This window comes from Homo sapiens, chromosome 6 (assembly GCF_000001405.40).
Source record: "Homo sapiens chromosome 6, GRCh38.p14 Primary Assembly".
In the NCBI taxonomy this organism is placed as follows: Eukaryota; Metazoa; Chordata; class Mammalia; order Primates; family Hominidae; genus Homo; species Homo sapiens.
Window position 1 is genome coordinate 28,811,864 of NC_000006.12, and position 19,345 is coordinate 28,831,208.

Sequence of the window (19,345 nt, forward strand, 5' to 3'; positions counted from 1 at the left end):
TTCATGTTAGTGATTGGTGGACTGCTTAGAAAATATAAGTGGATAATCCTAAGCAGCAAATAGATTCAAAGGAATAAACACGAGTCACCTCTGTGTATGAGAGAGAAATGCAGAGGCCAACACAATTCACCTTGACAGACAGAAAAATTTAAAGTTGGGGAATATCATGGACCGCTTCTCACTAGTGCCCGGGGAAGAAAACAAAACCTGGAGGTATTGGGGATTGAACCCAGGACCTCGTGCATGCTAAGCACGCGCTCTACCGCTGAGCTATACCCCCTCTGGAAGACTTGCCTTTTAGAGAATATTTTGATGACTATTATTGTCTGAGTCTGGGCTCTGTGTCATGATAATCTTTATGTTTTCAATTCCACTCTCAATTTCCTACAGGAAGTGTTTCCTCTCTTAGGCCCTGCTACACCAAAAGAAAGGTAGCTTAATAGTACAAATAAAGGCACTGTTCCTGATTTGTGGTCAGTCCAAGATCAACTCACCCCACGGTGGGCTCCCCATCGCGTTAGATTTCCTGGAGCATACTTGCATTCAATCATTTGAGTGTGTCCTGGCATACAACATTCTCTTGCAAATTTTCTGATTATAATGTTCTGTATTCTTTTGACTCTTGGAAGCGTGTTAGTCTCACATGGTCAAAAAATAAAACTGACTCAAGTGTGTGTGAAAATACCCTAAAATTCAACACAAATAGAGGCAAATTAAAACTGCATTGTGAAAGAATAACATAACCCCATTGAAATAACTGATTTAAGAAAATGCTTGACAAAGTTCGTTGTTCTAATTGTAAGTACAAAAAGAAGAGGAAACAAATCTTAAACTCTATGTATGAGGGTTTTTTTTTTAGAGCTAAGGCTGCAGGAATTCTGAGATTTTGTGTGAATTTTAGGATTGGGAAAATGAGTGTGTGTGAGCGCGTGTGTTGTTGGAAACAGGCTGTCACTGTAAGAGAAAGCAGGTAAAGAATAGTCCTGTTGGTGTTGATGGGAATTGGAGGCATCAGTATGAAATTATACATATGTAATTGTATAGGCCGGGCGCGGTGGCTCACGCTTGTAGTCTCAGCACTTTGGGAGGTTGAGACGTGTGGATCGCTTCAGGTCAGAAATCGAGAACAGCCTGGCCAACATGGCAAAACGCCGTTTCTCCTAAAAATACAAAAATTTGACGGGTGTGGTGGCCGCCCCTGTAGTCCCAGCTATTCGGGAGGCTGAGGCAGGATAATCGCTTGAATTCGGGAGGCGGACGTTGCAGCGAGCCAAGATCGCACCACCGCACTCCAGCCTGGGCGACTAAGACTCTGTCTCAAAAAATAAAAATAGTACATTTTCCCTACAGATCTGTCTGCTAACTGAGCCTGGAAGAAATACCTTAGAAACAATGAGCAAGATGACTCTATATTTTGATTTTCAAATACCATTCTCTACTAAAAGGAACCAGAGATACTAATAGAAAGTAGCTACTAGTGTCAACTACACTGACTCCAGGACTGTGCCAGGGAAACTACAAGATGAACCTAAAATATCTTGCTGTGCCAGAATGATGGGGATGATTTAAAAGAACACAGAAGCTCCGGGGTGGCTCACGCCTGTAAACCCAGCACTTTGGGAGACCGAGGCGGGCGGATCACCAGAGGTTAGGAGTTCCAGACCCGCCTGGCCAACATGGTGAAGTCCCGTCTCTACTAAAAATACAAAAAATGGCCTGGCATGGTGGCTCATGCCTCTAATCCCAACTACTTGGGAAGCAGAGGTAGGAGAATCGCATGAACCCGGGAGGCGGAGGTTGCAGTGAGCCGAGATCGCACCACTGCACTCCAGCCTGGACGACAGGGCAAGACCTGTCTCAATAAATAAATAAATAATAAAGTACATGAGAAAAATAATAGTGTGTGTGTGTGTTTAGCCGTAAAGAGAGAGGAGAATCATTGTGGCAAAATATCGGGAATTGGTAAATATGAGTAACTTGTGTGTGGCAGTTCTTTGTATCATTTTTGCAACTTTTCTGTAGGTTTGAAATAATTTCAAACTAAAAAGGTTTTTCTAAATTCTCCCTTCTCAAATTTCTTTTCCCTCTTCCTTCAAGGGCTGTACTCTTCTATCAAGAGTAACGTAGATGGATACTAAAACAGAAGGGTCAGTACCGTCTCGGGGGATTTAGGTGCAGGTGAGGAGGTGAGAAAGTGGAATTCCCAGCTCTTAGAAACGAAGACCCAGGAGCGTGGGTCGCTGCCCGTCCTTACCCTGCCAGCGCCTGGGCCAGCACCATGGTCGCGAAACCCAGCATGGATTTCGTCTTGGGGACGCTATGGCTCCAGTTCTGACACTCAAGAAACGATGGATGGAGAGGAGAACGAGGACCACCTTCGAAAAGAGTTCGAGAGGGAAGCAGGGACGCGGTGGGGTGCGCACCTGCGGCGGCGGCGGCAAAGGCGGAGGAGAAGCGAAGTGGGCGAGCGCCCGAGGCTGCCAGAGGATCTGGGTGGGCCGGAAGGCGGAGTGCAGCCCGGAAGCCCATCTCCGCTGCTTTTCCTCGCTGTCCGCGATAAGCGAGAGGGCTCATTCCCTGTTGGAGAAGTGAGCTGAAAACACTTTCCTCGCAAGATCTCCCTCGTTTTGCTCAAGGCAGTCGCGGCGTTGAGAACGCCTCGCAGCTCCTTTACTGGCTGGGGCACTGGGGAGAACGGGTACCCTTGAGTTTTGGTACAGGCGGGTGGTATTAGTGGCTTCCAAGGAAACGACAGAGAAGCCGCCTATTTCCAATCCCTACTGTTAGCGAGGGGGAGAGTGTTTAACCGGGAAGAGAGACCCTCCCGCTGAAGCATAGGGTCCTTTGTTATAGATAGGAAGAGTGTTCTTTGCTTTTGTTTTTGTTATAGCTTGTCAAGCTTGGAATACAAGGCATGAAAAACAAGAAAGGTAAGGCAGTCCCAGTATATTTTAAACTTACGAGGGTTTTCAGAAGGAGTACTACCTTGTTTTTATGGAATTCAGGGTGTCCAGATTTCAACCTACCTAGCAGAGTGAAGCTCTATGAGTCTAATATCTTGGCTTTCTTCCACATCAGCAAGCCTCTGAAATTCGGGTTTCTTTCTGGACAATATCACCTACATTTTGCAGTCGGCTCCTATATTGCCTGCATCCAACTCGTGGAAGCAAGAACAGTGGGAAAAGCCAAGGTTACCACATAAAAGAAGATCCTTACATGAGACAAGTGTAAATAAAGCAGCAGCTGAGGTGTGTGTAGAGGAAGAGACAAACGTGAAAATGTAGAAAGTGGATACAGAATTTTTTCCAAGGAGGAAGAGGAATGGTCTGCTCACAACGAGGAACTCTCTACTTACTGCTGCAAAGATACTTTTATTACATTTCATGCATATGCTGGATTTTAACAACCAGAACATTGGTAGACTTGGTGGGGGCTGGAGAGACAGCAGTCACTCCCAACCCTGAGGATGAGTCCTCACCCTGAGGGTGGAGAGAAAATGATTACTCTCTGCCACAGGGCTTAGAATCGTCCAAGCCTGGGTTTCAAATTGCAAGGCCCAAATAGCTTGAGAGAGCTCCAGGTATTTCAGCTCAAAAGAGTCTCCTGGTTCAAGAGAATTCCTGTGAGTTCCTCCACAGGAAAATCAGTCTGTTGTGTGTGACCTGAAAAGTTGCATAAATATTCAAAGGGTCAAAGAAATGGTAAATTCAACCCCATCCCTGACATAAGACGAATACAAACCTCACTGGCTTTCCTAGGTTTGTGTTTTTGATTGAGAATAGGCAGGGAACCCCAGGACCAACTCTTCCTCCTCAGCAGGTGCCTGACCCTGGGACTTCCTGAAACTTCTAGAGCAGTGCTTCACAAACTTTAGCATCAGAGTCACTTGAAGGCTTATTCAAACACAGGAGGCTGAGCCCCATCCATACTCAGCAGTTCTGATTCAATAGACCTAAGGTTGGGCCTGAAATTTATTATTCTGATTGCAGCACCCTAATCCTCCACCCCTTGCTCTCCTATGCAGTGTCCACTGTGGCTAACATGCCACTGTTTGCCTGGAGAGAACCAATGGATACCAGGAAATTAAAGAAGAAAAAGTATGAAACAAAAAGAAAATACATGGCATGTGTGTATTACCTTCCTCCAAAAAATGTGTCTCAAAACAAACATATGATTGGTCTGGAGGCACACACACAGCCAGTCCTCAGCTAAGCAGGTTTCATCAGACAGTATCCCTCCTGGATGCTGGTTATAGATATTCTCACTGGACAAAAGAATCAAGTAAGGTCATGTTAGCCTCATAGAGTGTATCTATCATGCCAGCCTGATAGGCTGGTGGACTAGGAACAAACATCATACTCTCTTGCCTCTCAAAGACACTTTAATTCAATAGGAAATATGTACAGAGAGAACAGCAGTTTTGAAACCATACACCGTTGGAAACCATAAAAGGTTTCATGAGTGCATAGGATTTCTTGGGAGTTCCCTCTCCAAAAAAAGCGATGTAATCAGGTGGATCGAGAAAGAACATGAAATGTTTGTTTGTTTTTTCCCAAGGCAGGAAGTGCCCAACACACCTGCGATCTACTTATCTTTTAGTCTGCATGTATTTTGCATTGTGACAGAAAACCTTTTCCTAGTTTTTCATATGGGGCCTCCGTTTGCTCTTACCAGAAGTTCCCAGGCAATATTTTATTGTAAAGAGGAAAATGGAGTGACTGAGGAAATACAGGAATACAAATCAGTCTTATGGAACATCAGTAGGGAATGTTGATCCGTATTGGTTTCTGCTTCTCGCACGTTGAAGGCCTCTAATTCCCCGACAGTCTTCGTGTGGTTATCCAGCGCCCTGCCACTCCCATCTCAAGCGACTGGAGAGCCACAGCCCTTGTCTCAGTACTGGATCACACTGGTAGCTGTGTTCTCCGCGCAGGTAGACAGGGAGAGACTGGTGGAGAAATCAGTGAACAGAGGCTTTCGCTCTGTTCTTTGGCCCAGAAAACAAAAATAACTTAAAAAAAAATAGATGCCTTCAGGGCGCTTTTCTCCCTTCTCCTTTGTCTTTGCGTCTCATTAATCATAGTACAAAATGGGAGTGAAAGCGAGCCGCCTGTGAATGTGCACGCTTTTGTTTGGGTTCAAGAGACCGTGTTGCGATCCCGTTCTTCTTTCCCCCTCATTTCTTGTTTGTCTCCCTTCTGCTGTGGCAATCGCCTTTGGTGATGTCGAGGTTCACAGCATAACCAGTGGAGATAGTTCAAGGCTGAACATTGGGCTACACTTTTACTGTCTATATGTGCAGAAATAGGATAGAAAAACGTGAGGAGGCAGAAGTCTGTCGCTTGAAAACTACCAGAGCAAAACCATCGCTTGGAGGTGTCGGGGATCGAACCCGAGGCCTCATACATGCAAAGCATGCGCTCTACCACTGAGCTACACCCCCTCACTATAAGGTCTCTTTGTAATAATTTTCAGGAGGTAACTTTCATTTCCTGAGACTCCGTGAGCATGCTGGTAGTAGTGGTCAGTATTATGGAGTGCGGAGAGCTGTTCTGAGCAGGAGATACTTGGTACTAATGGGGGATACAGATTCTTTAGAATACTGTGTAGGACTTGAAACGAAAAACGAAAGATTAGAAAAGTGTCAGATAATAACCACAAGAAGTTTCCATTGTGGCCTCAAGACGTTGAGTTCTTAGGGTCTCCTTCTATTATGCTTGGCAAGAATCAAGTTCAGGTTTTCGTTTCTTTTAATTTCTCCCAGATACGACACAAAGCCATTGAAATTCAGCCTTTTCCTGCCTAAAACGCTTCATAATTGTTGTTTGCTCAATCGGAATATTAAAGATAAGATTTGATGGAGGAAAGCCACAATCAGAAGAAAACCTGACAGCGATGCACTTAGCATTTTTTCATAAGGGTCCTTAGCTGGCGTGGTGTCTTACGCCTGTACTCCCAGCTACTCTAGAGGCTGAGGCACGAGGATCGCTTGAGCTCGGGAGTTAGTTGTTGTAGGGAGCTATGACTGTGCCACTGTCCTCCAGCCTGGGCAACAGAGAGAGAAGGGAAGGGGAGGGGAGGGAAAGGGGGAGAAGAGGGGAGACGAGGGGAGAAGAGGGGAGGGGAGGGGAAGGGATTCATAAGGCGTGAATGAAAAACAGCTATGGGGATGGAGAGAAGGGTTGAATTATGAGAATAAGACCGAAGATAAATACAAACAGGGTTGAAGAATGCTTTAGAAAAACAAACACAGCAGGTGCAGAAAAGGGGAGAGGTTTTAACAGCTCTTTTAGGAATGAGAGATAGACTGGAAGATGGAGAAGATGAGTTAGTTTGGCTCATACTCAATTTAAAGTATCTGTGGGGCACACTTGTGAGGATGTTTCTCAGAGAATTCAGGCAATTAACTCTGTCTCTAGCCTGGGATTTGTAAGCATTAATAGTAGTAGACACATTACATGGAGGATGGATAAAGACTAAAAAAGTGTACTTTGAGATATGGAAATTACAAACCTATTCGTGATATTTGTAGTGAACAAACAAGTTTGTTTGTTCTTGAATTCAAAAGTTCTTGAATCTTGGGACTTATCGTGTGTCCTTTGAATTACATAAGAAGATGAGAAGAAAACCTATTTCTCAGCACCAAATTTCTAGTGACTATTAACTCTTTCTCATTCTGGTTTGCCTATATAAGAGCCTTTGCCAATGTTAATAAAGTAACATTGATGGCTTTCAAAATTGCCAAATTGCAAGTTGTATGTCAGACTTGGCTTTTCAGTTGGCTGATGGGATTTCTAGAATAAAAATAGGAAACACTGAGTGATAGACTTCACTGAAGGAGAAACTAGAGAATTGTTATAGACAAAATTGATGTGTATTCATGTGTGTTTGCCTGCCTGACTGTGTCTGTGTGTGTGCATGTAAATGATGGGAAGGATTATCTTGGCTCTTTGATGCTGTAAAAGCAATATTAGGACAGTTTGCAGAAACTCTCCTTCATCTTTATGTTGTGTTACACCCAGAGAAACTTGGCTGTCTATTGGATTCTTGGGAATTCATAATAAGAAGGTTGCCTCATAAAAATGGGAGAATTTTAAATAATTAAATATCTGTAGCTATCTTCAGACTATCTACCAGCAACACGATTGAAACATGTTTTTTGTGTGAAATCTGTAGGATGAGCTCATTTAACATAGCATTCTTCTGAGAAATTAAACATTTAATTTTGAAGACAGAACACCCTGTCATACACACTCAATTTCGAAAACCTAAAAATATATAAAGTATATGTTTAAATCTGCACTGTCCAATATGGTTACCATTAGCCACATTGGGTATTGAGTACTGAAAATTGCCTAGTCTAAGTTAAGATGTGTTGAAAGTGAGAAATATATACCAGATTTCAAAGATGTAATTTTTTTTTCATGGAGTCTCGCTCTGCCACCTAACCTGGAGTGCAGTGGTGCAATCTTGGCTCACAGCAACCTCCACCTGTTGGGTTCAATCCATTCTCCTGCCTCAGCCTCCTGAGTAACTGGGACTACAGGCGCGCACCACCATGCCTGGCAATTTTTCTTTTTCTTTTTTTTTTTTTTTAGTAGAGACAGGGTTTCACCATGCTGGCCAGGCTGGTCCCAAACTCCTGACCTTGTCATCTGCCCTCCTCGGCCTCCCAAAGTGCTGGGATTACAGGCATGGGCCGCCGCACCTGGCCAGATGTAATATCATTTTTTAAACATAAAATGTCTCACTGATAATTTTAAGATTGATTACTTGTTAAAATAATATTTTGGACATGCAAGGTGATTTACATATATTAGTAAAACTGGACATAAAAGATGGAAACAATAGACACTGGGGACTACTAGAGGGGGAGGCGAGAAGGGGAAAGGCTTGAAAAGCTAACTATTGGATACTATGTTCACCACCCAGGTGATGGGATTAATCTCACCCCAACCCCAGCATCATGCACTATACCCATGTAACAAACCTGGACATGTACCCCCTGAATCTAAAATAAAAGTTGAAATTATTATTATTAGTATTATTATTTTGAGACAGAGTCTTGCTCTGTCTCTCAGGCTAGAGTACAGTGGCGCTATCTGGGCTCACTGCAAACTCCTCCTCCAGGTTTCAAGTGATTCTCCTATCTCAGACTCCCAAGTAGCTGAAATTACAGGCATGCACCACCACACCCAGCTAATTTTTGTATTTTTATTAGAGACAGGGTTTCACCATATTGGTCAGGTTGGTCTTGAACCCCTGACCTCAGGTGTTCCGCGCACCTCGGCCTCCCAAAGGGCTGGGATTACAGGTATGACCCACCTTGCCTATCTAAAAGTTGAAATTGTTAAAAAATTATATAAAATAAGTATTGCCTGTTTATTTTTTAAATGTGACTACTAGAAAATTTAAAACTACAGAAGTGGCTCTCATTTAAGATTTGTATTAACTTTTTTAAAAATTCTTTTTATCCCAGAAGCTAAAGCAGAAGACTTGTAGTATCTTTTGATTGGACAGCATTGTCTAGAGACGATGTTATCTATTTAGGTGCTGTTCTGGGAGAATCCCAGAGCCAAAGGACATGGAGCATGGTCTGCCAGTAATTAGGTTTCATGCCGCGAGTGGACTTGACTAAATGCATTTCCATGCATGATCTCCTTAGACCTTTGCAACATCCCATTTTACATAATCATTATTAGCCTCATTTTTAAGGTATTGAATGAGAGACGAATCATGCTTAGAATTACCCTAGGCGTTTCATTTCAACAAAATGTAAAGGAATCACTACTGTGCTAGGCAAGAAAACATTCAATCCTGCCATTTGTCTAATCAAATGTTTCCTTTTTTTTTTCTTTTTTTAAGACAGAGTCTTGCTCTTGTTGCCTAGGGTGGAGTGCAATGTTGCGATCTTGGCTCACTGCAACCTCCGCTTCCCGGGTTCAAGGGATTCTCCTGCCTCAGCCTCTCGAGTAGCTGGGATTACAGGCATCCACCACCACACCCAGCTAATTTATTATTATTATTATTATTATTGTTATTATTATTATTTTGTATTTTTAGTAGTGACAGGGTATCACCATGTTGGCCAGGCAGGTCTTAAACTTCTGATCTCAGGTGATCTACCCGCCTCAGCCTCCCAAAGTGCTGAGATTACAGGCGTGAGCCACCACGCCCAGCCTATCAAATATTTCTTAATGAAATAAAACACAGGCTTCTGAGTTGAGAAAGCCTCAGTGACTTAAAGGGTAAAGTATCTGATTCCTAGTTCCTGTACAGTCAATGTCCCCACCCTGAGGTTGGTCTCTCATTTGGTACCAATTTTCCTTTCACAATTTGATGCAGTTCTGATGTTGGAGTACTGTAGTTTATTGTCTCCTCACACAGTATGCAGGTGTTAGGGGAAAATAACACTGAAAATGAAACACCAATTTGAAAGAAGAAAAGATATTAAAAATGACCAAAAAAAATCAGACAAAAAAAAAAAAAAAAAAAAACAGGACAAAAAAGGCCCATTATCCCAACACAAAATTTCAAGAGAGGAGTTGAAGTAAAAAAAAGGAAAATGGGGCACATCCACCTGAGTCTTGACAGAATAATTAATTTAGAAATACTTATTTTTGACTGGACGCAGTGGCTCACATCTATAATCCCAGCACTTTGGGAGGCCGAGGCAGGTAGATCACGAGGTCAGGAGTTGGAGACCAGGCTGGCCAACATGGTGAAATCCCGTCTTTACTAAAAATACAAAAATTAGTCAGGCATGGTGGTGGACGCCTGTAATCCCAGCTGCTTGGGAGGCTGCAGCAGGAGAATTGCTTGTGCCGGGGAGGCGGAGGTTGCAGTGAGCTGAGATCGTTCCACTGCACTCTAGCATGGGTAACATAGCAAGATTCTGTCTCAAAAAAAAAAAAAAAAAGAAAAAAGAAAGAAAGACTTATTTTTGTTCTTTCCTGGATACCAATGAGGAAATAACTTAAGATTTGGAAATTCTAGGCAAGGTTTCCAGGCTAAAGAAATGTCCTGTCAGTAAGAAACTTAAAAATATTCCTGTAATTAGGACTGGTGCGGTGGTTCCCACCTGTAATCCCAGCACGTAGGGAGGCAGAAGCGGGCAGGTTGCTTGAGCCCAGGATTTCAAGAACAGCTGGGGGAACATGGTGAAACCCAGTTTCTACAAAAAAAAAGTACAAAAGAGAGAGAGAGAAAGCCAGGCTTGTTGTTGCATTTCTGTAGTCTCAGCTACCCAGGAGGCTGACATGGGAGGATCGCTTGAGTCCAGGGAGGCTGAGGCTGCAGTGAGCTGTGATCATACCACTGCACTCCAGCATGGGTGACAGAGTGAGACCCTGCCTCAAAAAAACAAAACAGGGCCGGGCGCGGTGGTTCACACTGTAATCCCAGCACTTTGGGAGGCCGAGGTGGGTGGATCACGAGGTCAGTAGATCGAGACCATCCCAGCTAACATGGTGAAACCCCGTCTCTACTAAAAATACAAAAAATTAGCTGGGCGTGGTGGTGGGCGCCTGTAGTCCCAGCTACTCGGGAGCCTGAGGCAGGAGAATGGCGTGGACCCGGGAGGCGGCGCTTGCAGTAAGCCGAGATCGTGCCACTGCACTACAGCCTGGGCGACAGAGCGAGACTCCGTCTCAAAAAAAAGAAAGTTATTTTCCCAGCAGTTTAACTGCAGAGCTATGGAGTTGACTCAAGATACAAACCGAGGTGTTTCTTTCTTTTTTTTTTTTTGAGACGGAGTGTCGCTCTGTCACCCAGGCTGGATTGCAGTGGTGCGATCTCAGCTCACTGCAAGCTCCGCCTCCCGGGTTCACGCCATTCTCCTGCCTCAGCCTCCTGAGTAGCTGAGACTACAGGCGCCCGCCACCGCGCCCCACTAATTTTTTTGTACTTTTAGTAGAGACGGGGGTTTCACCGTGGTCTCGATCTCCTGACCTCGTGATCCACCCGCTTCGGCCTCCCAAAGTGCTGGGATTACAGGCCTGAGCCACTGCGCCCGGCCAAACCGAGGTTTTTGGAATTGCAAAATGTTTCTTGAATATACCACTACCACATATATACACTCATACAGCATAATAGTTCTTCTACAGGTTTCTTCATAGTTCTTGTGATTTAAAACACCCCTGCCCAACACACATAAATAACATCAAATCAGAAATGAATTGTAATTGCCACAGTCTATAGCATATTGGAATTTCTTAGGTTTTAAAATTAGTAACTTTCTAGATTTAAGATTTTAAATAATTTACATACCATCAGTTAACACTTCATGGAAGACTTCAGTGGAGAGAGTGATACAAATATACATACATATATATATACATTACCTTTATGGAATTTTCAAAAAGCAAAAAATGGGAGTTATATATAGACCTCTGGGATTGGTGTGCAAGTGTTGTATAAAGGAAAGACAATTATGCAACAACCAAAAGGTATCTGCCGAAACCCGGGATTGAACCAGGGACCTTTAAGATCTTCGGTCTAACGCTCTCCCAACTGAGCTATTTCGGCTACTCTGGAGCTGTCCCGTTGGTCATTTCTTCAAAATATAAAAACTGCAATTTGTAAGGTCAGTGTATCTTCCAACGCCTAATTCGGTTGTCTTCAATATCACCCGTCATTCACTCACCTCCTCCCAATCCAAAAATATAAATTCTGCTGTAATTTATGTATGAAAATAGGATCCAATTTTCCCCGGCAAAAGACGGGAAAGAAAAGACGAGACGGCCGGGCACGGTGGCTCACGCCTGTAATCTCAGCATTTTGCGAAGCCGTGGAGGGTGGATCACTTGAGGTCAGGAGTTCAAGACCAGCCTGGCCAACATGGTGAAATCCCTTCTTTACAAGAAATATAAAAATTAGCCAGGAGAGGTGGCGCACGCCTGTAGTTTCAGCTACTTCGGAGGCTGAGGCAGGAGAATCGCTTGAACCAGGGAGTTCGAGGCTGCAGTGAGCCGAGATCGCGCCACTGCACTCCAGCCTGGGCGACAGCGAGACTCTGTCTCTAAAAAAAAAAAAAAAAAAAAAAAGGCGAGGAATAGGTCAAATCAGCAAGATAGATGCTCCCATGCTTGGTCACCTTGGAAACACCGCTCAGAAAACTAAAGGAAACTATCTAAAACTAAAATGAAATTATCTAGACTTTTCCTTTTCTCTCCTTTTGGCTCTTTTTTGTTTTGTTTTCTGTCTTGCTCTTCAATGACATGGCAAAAAGGAACAGAAGATTATTGAACACGTTAACCTGGTAGTAGGTTTATAGCTTCCGACTGAAGAAATCCTGAGCGAGCCAATTCTTTTTCTCTGTTTCCTTCCTTTTACTGATCTAGTGCTAACACATCCACCTTAGGTGGTACAGAGAGCCAGGGGTGGAAAAGGCAAGCATATGTTTATTTTAGTGTGACCACGCTATATATATATATATATATATATATATATATATATATATATATATACACACACATATAAATATGAAATATATATAAATTAAAAATGTAAATATATTGTTGATATAGATATTATATATAATATAAAATATACATGTATCTCTCTCTCTATATATATATATAGAGAGAGAGAGAGAGAGAAGATTCCAGCGAGTGAGAGAGAGAGAGAGAGAGACAGGGTCCCACTCTGCCAGCCTGGAGTGCAGTGGCAATCTCCTCTCATTGCAACTTTCGCCTCCAGGCTCAATCCGTTCTCCCACCTCAGCCTAGAAATTCTTATATCACTTCAAAAGTGTGAAAACATTGGACTCCTCTTGTTAAATAACTTAGAAACAATTTCAGAGTTTACCGAATTTCAGAAACAATCCTCTCTGGAATGAGGAAATAGCTACAGCCAACAACGACTTGCAAATTGAATTTTAATAAAACCGTCCCTATGTCTGGACAGTTTTCAAACTCAGTCTCCTATTCCGAGAGAGTCCAGGCTTTCTGTTTTTAGCCAAAATTTGTTGGGAGGGTCAATTAAAATATTTTTTGAATAATTTCCTCAAAAATTTTAGATTCTCTTACAGGCTTTTTTCTTTTTTTCTCTCCCTCTTGTAAGGCCCGAACCTCCCCAGACAGGAAACAACATTCCTCCAGGTTTATCCCCGCCGCCTGACGTCTCTCCCCATCTGGACGCAGCCTCAGCCTATGCTGCAGAAAACGTTTGAAGTTGAGCATATAGAGAAGGAAAAAAAAAAAAAGGAAAGTGATGTGGAAATTAAAACAGTGGCTACATATAAATCTCAGCACAGTGCTTAGAATGTGTGTAAATGGTTCTAGGAGTGCACTGCACTATTGTGAAAAGTTCATTCAGAAGTAAACGGGAGGGAAGGTGGAGAGGAGCCGAGGGCCAGCTGGCGGAGAGAGGGAAGAGGCGGGGTGCGGTGAAGTGGAGAAAGAAACATAAAAAGGGAGAGGGGTAGAGGACAAGGAAAAGCATCCTCAAGATTATTAGGATTTGGATGGACGGGATGTTAGAGTGAGTCTAAGCACTCACCTCTCCGTCGCTTCTTCTGGATATGAGGGAAGAGAGGTAGGGAGGTAGGCTAGACCAGGAAAGGGACCTGGTTCTTTTCGTCCAGACTGCCACGGCTGCGAGAGCGCCTCGCCGCTCTTTCCATCGCTCGATAGACAGGCTAGGCTCTTTGGAGGAGCACGTGATGTTGCGTTTTTTGTTTGCGGGTTCGGGAACCGCTGATACTGATAGCTTCTGAGGGAGCTGCAGGGATTTCCCGATTTCCTGAGTGTCTGTGTTGAGAGTTAAAAGCGGAATCTGCCGACAGCTTCGAGACTGAGCAGGACAGTGGAAACGTCTAATTTTATTAGGCTTGAAATGCAGAAGATGAGAAAGAAAGTTCCCGTTTGTTTGCTCCACATGTTTCCTTTAGAATGAAGCCGATTGGAAGTCAACTTCACCCTGAAGAAATTCCTCCTGGCGTTTACAATGAGCTTCTTTACTCCCCAAGTCCAGCTCTTGGCTCAAAAGGGCTCTGCAGGTTGGTACAAAGGCTGCGGAAAGGCGAAGTCGCGGTACAATCGGTGTTAACTACATGTGCAGCCACCGTCTTCTTAGTCTTATTACAGGTGCAGAGGTAATATAGGTGAATCCCTCACAAGTTGAGTGGGTTGACCTCAAAATTGACTTTAGCGATGGCTTGTGACCACCTGGTAGGTGGTGGACCATTACAGCGTTTGGAAAATGAGTAAAACAAAGGATGCATACGGAAGCCCCACTAGCTTGCTTGGCTTCTGCAGATGCAGAGAGAGGTCGTTTTTCTGCCTTCTGGGTGTTGAGTAACTTAATTTTTTATCTTTTGTTTAAATGAAATAGAGCTGAAAATAGAAGGCGATTTCCTTTTAACGAGATAGTATTGAGATGCTTGCAGAGTATCCCCGCGTGGATTCTGCTTAGCTCTGTGATACCAGCATCAGAAACTGTGCAAAGAGCTCTAATCTGGAGGTGTGGGTTGTTCAGTAGCTTAGAAAGAGGTTATTCCTGGAGAATAAGTGCAGCAGGTAGAAAAGGATCCATTGGGATTGGGAGAATAAAAGTTCATTCATTATTTTTATTGATGGAAAACAAAGAAATGAGCTTTACCCTATACTGATCTTGGTTCCTGGAGTTCCGAGTGCTTGCATCTCAGGGCAGAAACTTCCTTAGAGGACCCAGAGAAATATGTTCCCCCTACCAAATGTCAGCTGAAGTGACTGTGATCTTTTTCTCATTTGTCATTATATTTGCCATTTATTGTATTCTTGTAGTTAAATAGTTTACATTAAGTTTTAGAGTTTGTGGGTTTCTAATGGAAAAAGTGACCACCAGCACATCAGGTCCTCAGCCACTGGCAGTGAAATCTTTTAGTGAAAGCTTGTAGGGCTTCTGCAACCTGGGTTAGAAGAAGAAATACAAGGCCAAGCATGGTAGCACACGCCTGTAATCCCAGCACTTTGGAAGTCTGAGGTGGGCAGATCACCTGAGGTCGGGAGTTCTAGACTAGCCTGACCAACAGGGAGAAACCCCCATCTCTACTAAAAATACAAAATTAGCCAGGCATGGTGGTGCATGGTTGTAATCCCAGCTACTCAGGAGGCTGAGGCAGGAGAATCACTTGAATCCGGGAGGCAGAGGTTGTGGTGAGCCAAGATTGTGCTATTGCACTCCAGCCTGGGCAACAAGAGTGAAACTCTGTCTCAAACAAACAAACAAACAAACAAACAAACACCACACGCAGGAAAGGACTTGCGCCACGTGGTTCTATGGTTTCTGATTATTTCATTTACAACTAGAAATAGGCTGGAGGGCCAGGAGTAGTACTTGCTTCCATAGTGCGTGGTTCACCTTAGTGACTGCTGGGACTGCTTAGAAAGAATAGGTGGATAATCGTAAGCAGCAAATAACCTTAAGTGAATGAACACGAATTACCTCTCTGTATGAGAGAGAGATGTAGAGGTCAACCCAAATATCTTGACAAGGCAGGACATTCTGGACAGCTGGGGAAGGTCATGGAGCTCTTCTTACAGTGCCACAGGGAAGAAAATGGACCTCTGGAGGTACTGGGGAATCAGCCCAAGACCTCGTGCATGATAAGTACACTCTCTACCACTGAGCTATACCCCCTCATACCTCCTGTGTATTTGGAAAACTGGTGACCACCATTATCTGAGTATGTGCTCTATGTCATAAAGACAATTACCATGTGTTTCCAATTCCACTGTTTATGATTTCCCTATATCTAAGTGCCCCCTCTCTTAGGCACGGTTACATCAAGAAAAGGTACGTTAACAGTAAAAAGAAAAACACTGTTCCTGATTTGGGATCAGCAAATCTATTTCCAAATAGAGCATTTCAAAAGTATAACATAACCACATTGAAAATTCAGGAAAGAATTGACCTAAGAAAATGGTTTATACATTGTTCTCATTGTAAAAAGAAAAAGAACAGCAAGCATATCTTAAACTCTATGTATCAGGAATATTTTCTGTAATGCTAAGGCAATAGCAATTCTGATATTTTGTGTGAATTTTAGGATTGGAAAAATGAGCATGTGTGCGCCTGTATGTTGTTGGAACCAGGCTCTCACTGTGGGAAAGGAGGAAGGTAAAGAATAGTCCTATTGGTGATGATGGGAATTAGAGGCATCAGTATGAAATTATACACTTAATTGTAAAATTTCTCCACAGATCTCTCTGCTAATTGGGCCTAGAAGAAATGATACCTCAGATGCAATGAGCAAAGATAATTCTATATATTGATTTTCAAATACCACTCCCTACTAAAAGGAACCAGCGATACTGATAGAAAGTAGCTACTGGTGTCAACTACACTGACTCCGGGACTGTGCCAGGGAAACTACAAGATGAACCTAAGATATCTTGCTGTGCCAGAATGTAGGTGCTCAGAATTGATGGGTATGATTTGAAAGGACAGAGAAGCCAGCTTGAAAGGGATCTCAATGGCCAAATCTGACACATTTTGAGCATTAATGATGACAATAAGTGATTATCAATCTTGGGAACTTAAACACATAAATATGGAAGATGGGAAGATTTTCCTTACAGTTGTGTGCCAAGTGATAAATGTGGAAGTAAGGATAAAATTAGAAAATCCTCATTTGGGCTGGGCGTGGTGGCTCACGTCTGTAATTCCAGCACTTTGGGAGGCCGAGGCAGGGGGATCACCTGAGGTTGGGAGTTCGAGACCAGCCTGACCAACATGGAGAAACCCCGTCTCTACTAAAAATACAAAACTGTGGTGAGCCGAGATCACACCATTGCACTCCAGCCTGGGCAAGAAGAGCGAAATTCTATCTCAAAAAAAATAATAATAATAATAATAAATAATGAGAAAAACTGACATCACATGCCTCTTGGTGTGATAGAGGGTAACATGATTTCTGTGACATTTCCATGACCTGAATGTAACCATGACTACACAAATTAAGAAACATTCAACAAAACCACTGGCATATGCTCTTCAAAAACATATTCATGAAAGACAAGAAGATTAAGAATCTGTTCCAAAGTGAAGGAGACTGAAAAGTCAAGACAACTAGATTCATATGTGATTCTGAAATGGCACCTAGTTTGGGAGAGAAATTCCTATAAAAGATTTTATTGATACAATTAAAATTTTTATAGACTGTATATTAGAGAATACTATTTTATCAATGTTAAGTTCTCTAAATTTGATAATTGTGCTGTGGTAAGAAATTGACCTTGTTCTTAGGAAATACACATTGAAGTATTTAGGAATAAAAAGATATAATGTCTGAAAATCATTATCAAATAGTTTAGAGAAATAATTTTTGTCATATGTACATATACATATATATACACACACACATACACACACACACATATATATTCCACTGTTGCTGATTGGTTGTTGAGGTGAGGAAGAGGCAAGACCGTGTTCTGAAATAATGTCAAGATTTGGACGATATGTGTTTCTCAAATGGTTCCCATTCCATTTTAAATGTTGCTAGGCTGAGACAAAGATACAAATTCCCCAATTTATATTAGAATTTAGCAGGTAGTTTATTTTGTTTTGTTTTGAGACAGAGTTTTGCTCTTGTTGCCCAGGCTGGAGTGCGATGGGAGGATCTTGGCTCACTGCAAACTCTGCCACCTGGGTTCAAGCAATTCTCCTGCCTCAGACTCCCAAGTACCTGGGATTACAGGTGTGTGCCACCACTCCCGACTAATTTTGTATTTTTAGTAGAGATGGGGGTTTCACCATGTTGGTCAGGATGGTCTCAAACCCCCAACCTGAGGTGATCTGCCCGCCTCGGCCTCCCAAAGTGTTGGGATTACAGGCGTGAGCCACTGTGCGCAGCCAACTCCTTTATAATCTTATAAGACCACCGTAGGATATGTGGTCTGTGGTTTACTAAAATGTCAACATGTAGCACATTACTGCACTCATATCAGATTTTTGGCCTCCAGAAGTGTGAAAGAATAAATTTCTGTTGTTATAAGCCATCTAATTTGAGATAATTTGTTACAGCAGCCATAGGAAACTAATCAATGACAAGCTTATTCTACTCTGCCAACTGCCTTGAGTGGTTTTGAGGCTCATGAAGTCTAAATAACGTAATATTGAAATTAACATCTTGGCAAAATTCAACAGCCCTTCATGCTAAAAACTCTCAATAAACTAGGTATTGATGTGATGTATCTCAAAATAATAAGAGCTATTTATGAAAAACCCACAGCCAATATCATATTGAATGGGCAAAAACTGGAAGCATTCCCTTTGAAAACTGGCACAAGACAGGGATGCCCTCTCTCATCACTCCTATTCAACATAGTGTTGGAAGTTCTGGCCAGGGCAATCAGGCAAGAGAAACAAATAAAGGGTATTCAGTTAGGAAAAGAGGAAGTCAAATTGTCCCTGTTTGCAGATGACATGATTGTATATTTAGAAAACCTCATCATCTCAGCCCAAAATCTCCTTAAGCTGATAAGCAACTTCAGCAAAGTCTCAGGATACAAAATCAATGTGCAAAAATCACAAGCATTCCTATACACCAGTAACAGACAGAGAGCCAAATCATGAGGGAACTCCCATTCACAATTGCTACAAAGAGAATAAAATACCTGGGAATCCAACTTACAAGGGATGTGAAGGACCTCCTCAAGGAGAATTACAAACCACTGCTTAACAAAATAAATGAGGACACAAACAAATGGAAGAACATTTCATGCTCATGGATAGGAAGAATCAATATCATGAAAATGGCCCTACTGCCCAAGGTAATTTAAAGATTCGGTGCGATCCCCATCAAGCTACCAATGACTTTCTTCACAGAATTGGAGAAAAACTATTTTAAAGTTCATATGGAACCAAAAAAGAGCCTGCATTGCCAAGACAATCCTAAGCCAAAAGAACAAAGCTGGAGGCATCATGCTACCTGACTTCAAACTATACTATATGGCTACAGTAACTGAAACAGCATGGTACTGGTACCAAAACAGAGATATAGACCAATGGAACAGAATAGAGCCCTCAGAAATAATACCACACGTCTACAACCATTTGATCTTTGACAAACCTGACAAAAACAAGAAATGGGGAAAGGATTCCCTATTTAATAAATGGTGCTGAGAAAACTGGCTAGCCATATGTAGAAAGCTGAAACTGGATCCCTTCCTTACACCTTATACAAAAATTAATTCAAGATGGATGAAAGACTTAAATGTTAGACCTAAAACCATAAAAACCCTAGAACAAAACCTAGGCAATACCATTCAGGACATAGGCATGGGCAAGGACTTCATGTCTAAAACACCAAAAGCAATGGCAACAAAAGCCAAAATAGACAAATGGGATCTAATTAAAC

At 42.5% G+C, this 19,345-nt stretch overlaps 3 non-coding genes across 3 annotated transcripts, besides 1 other annotated feature; all 3 read right to left on the bottom strand.

Annotated features, from left to right (window-relative positions):
- Nucleotides 1-208: 208 nt before the first annotated feature.
- Nucleotides 209-280, bottom strand: TRA-AGC6-1 (tRNA-Ala (anticodon AGC) 6-1). The gene has a single exon. It is a non-coding gene; the product is annotated as a tRNA-Ala (tRNA).
- Nucleotides 724-1,224: an enhancer, noted in NCBI's record as "H3K4me1 hESC enhancer chr6:28780364-28780864 (GRCh37/hg19 assembly coordinates)". NCBI's record gives its function as "activates a minimal SCP1, AML or CMV promoter by ChIP-STARR-seq in primed H9 embryonic stem cells {active_cell/tissue: H9 hESC(primed)}" and the evidence as "EXISTENCE:reporter gene assay evidence [ECO:0000049][PMID:30033119]".
- On the bottom strand, nt 5,372-5,443 carry TRA-TGC5-1 (tRNA-Ala (anticodon TGC) 5-1). Its single transcript has one exon. It is a non-coding gene; the product is annotated as a tRNA-Ala (tRNA).
- A 6,009-nt stretch (nt 5,444-11,452) lies between these two features.
- On the bottom strand, nt 11,453-11,526 carry TRF-GAA4-1 (tRNA-Phe (anticodon GAA) 4-1). Its single transcript has one exon. It is a non-coding gene; the product is annotated as a tRNA-Phe (tRNA).
- Nucleotides 11,527-19,345: the final 7,819 nt, after the last annotated feature.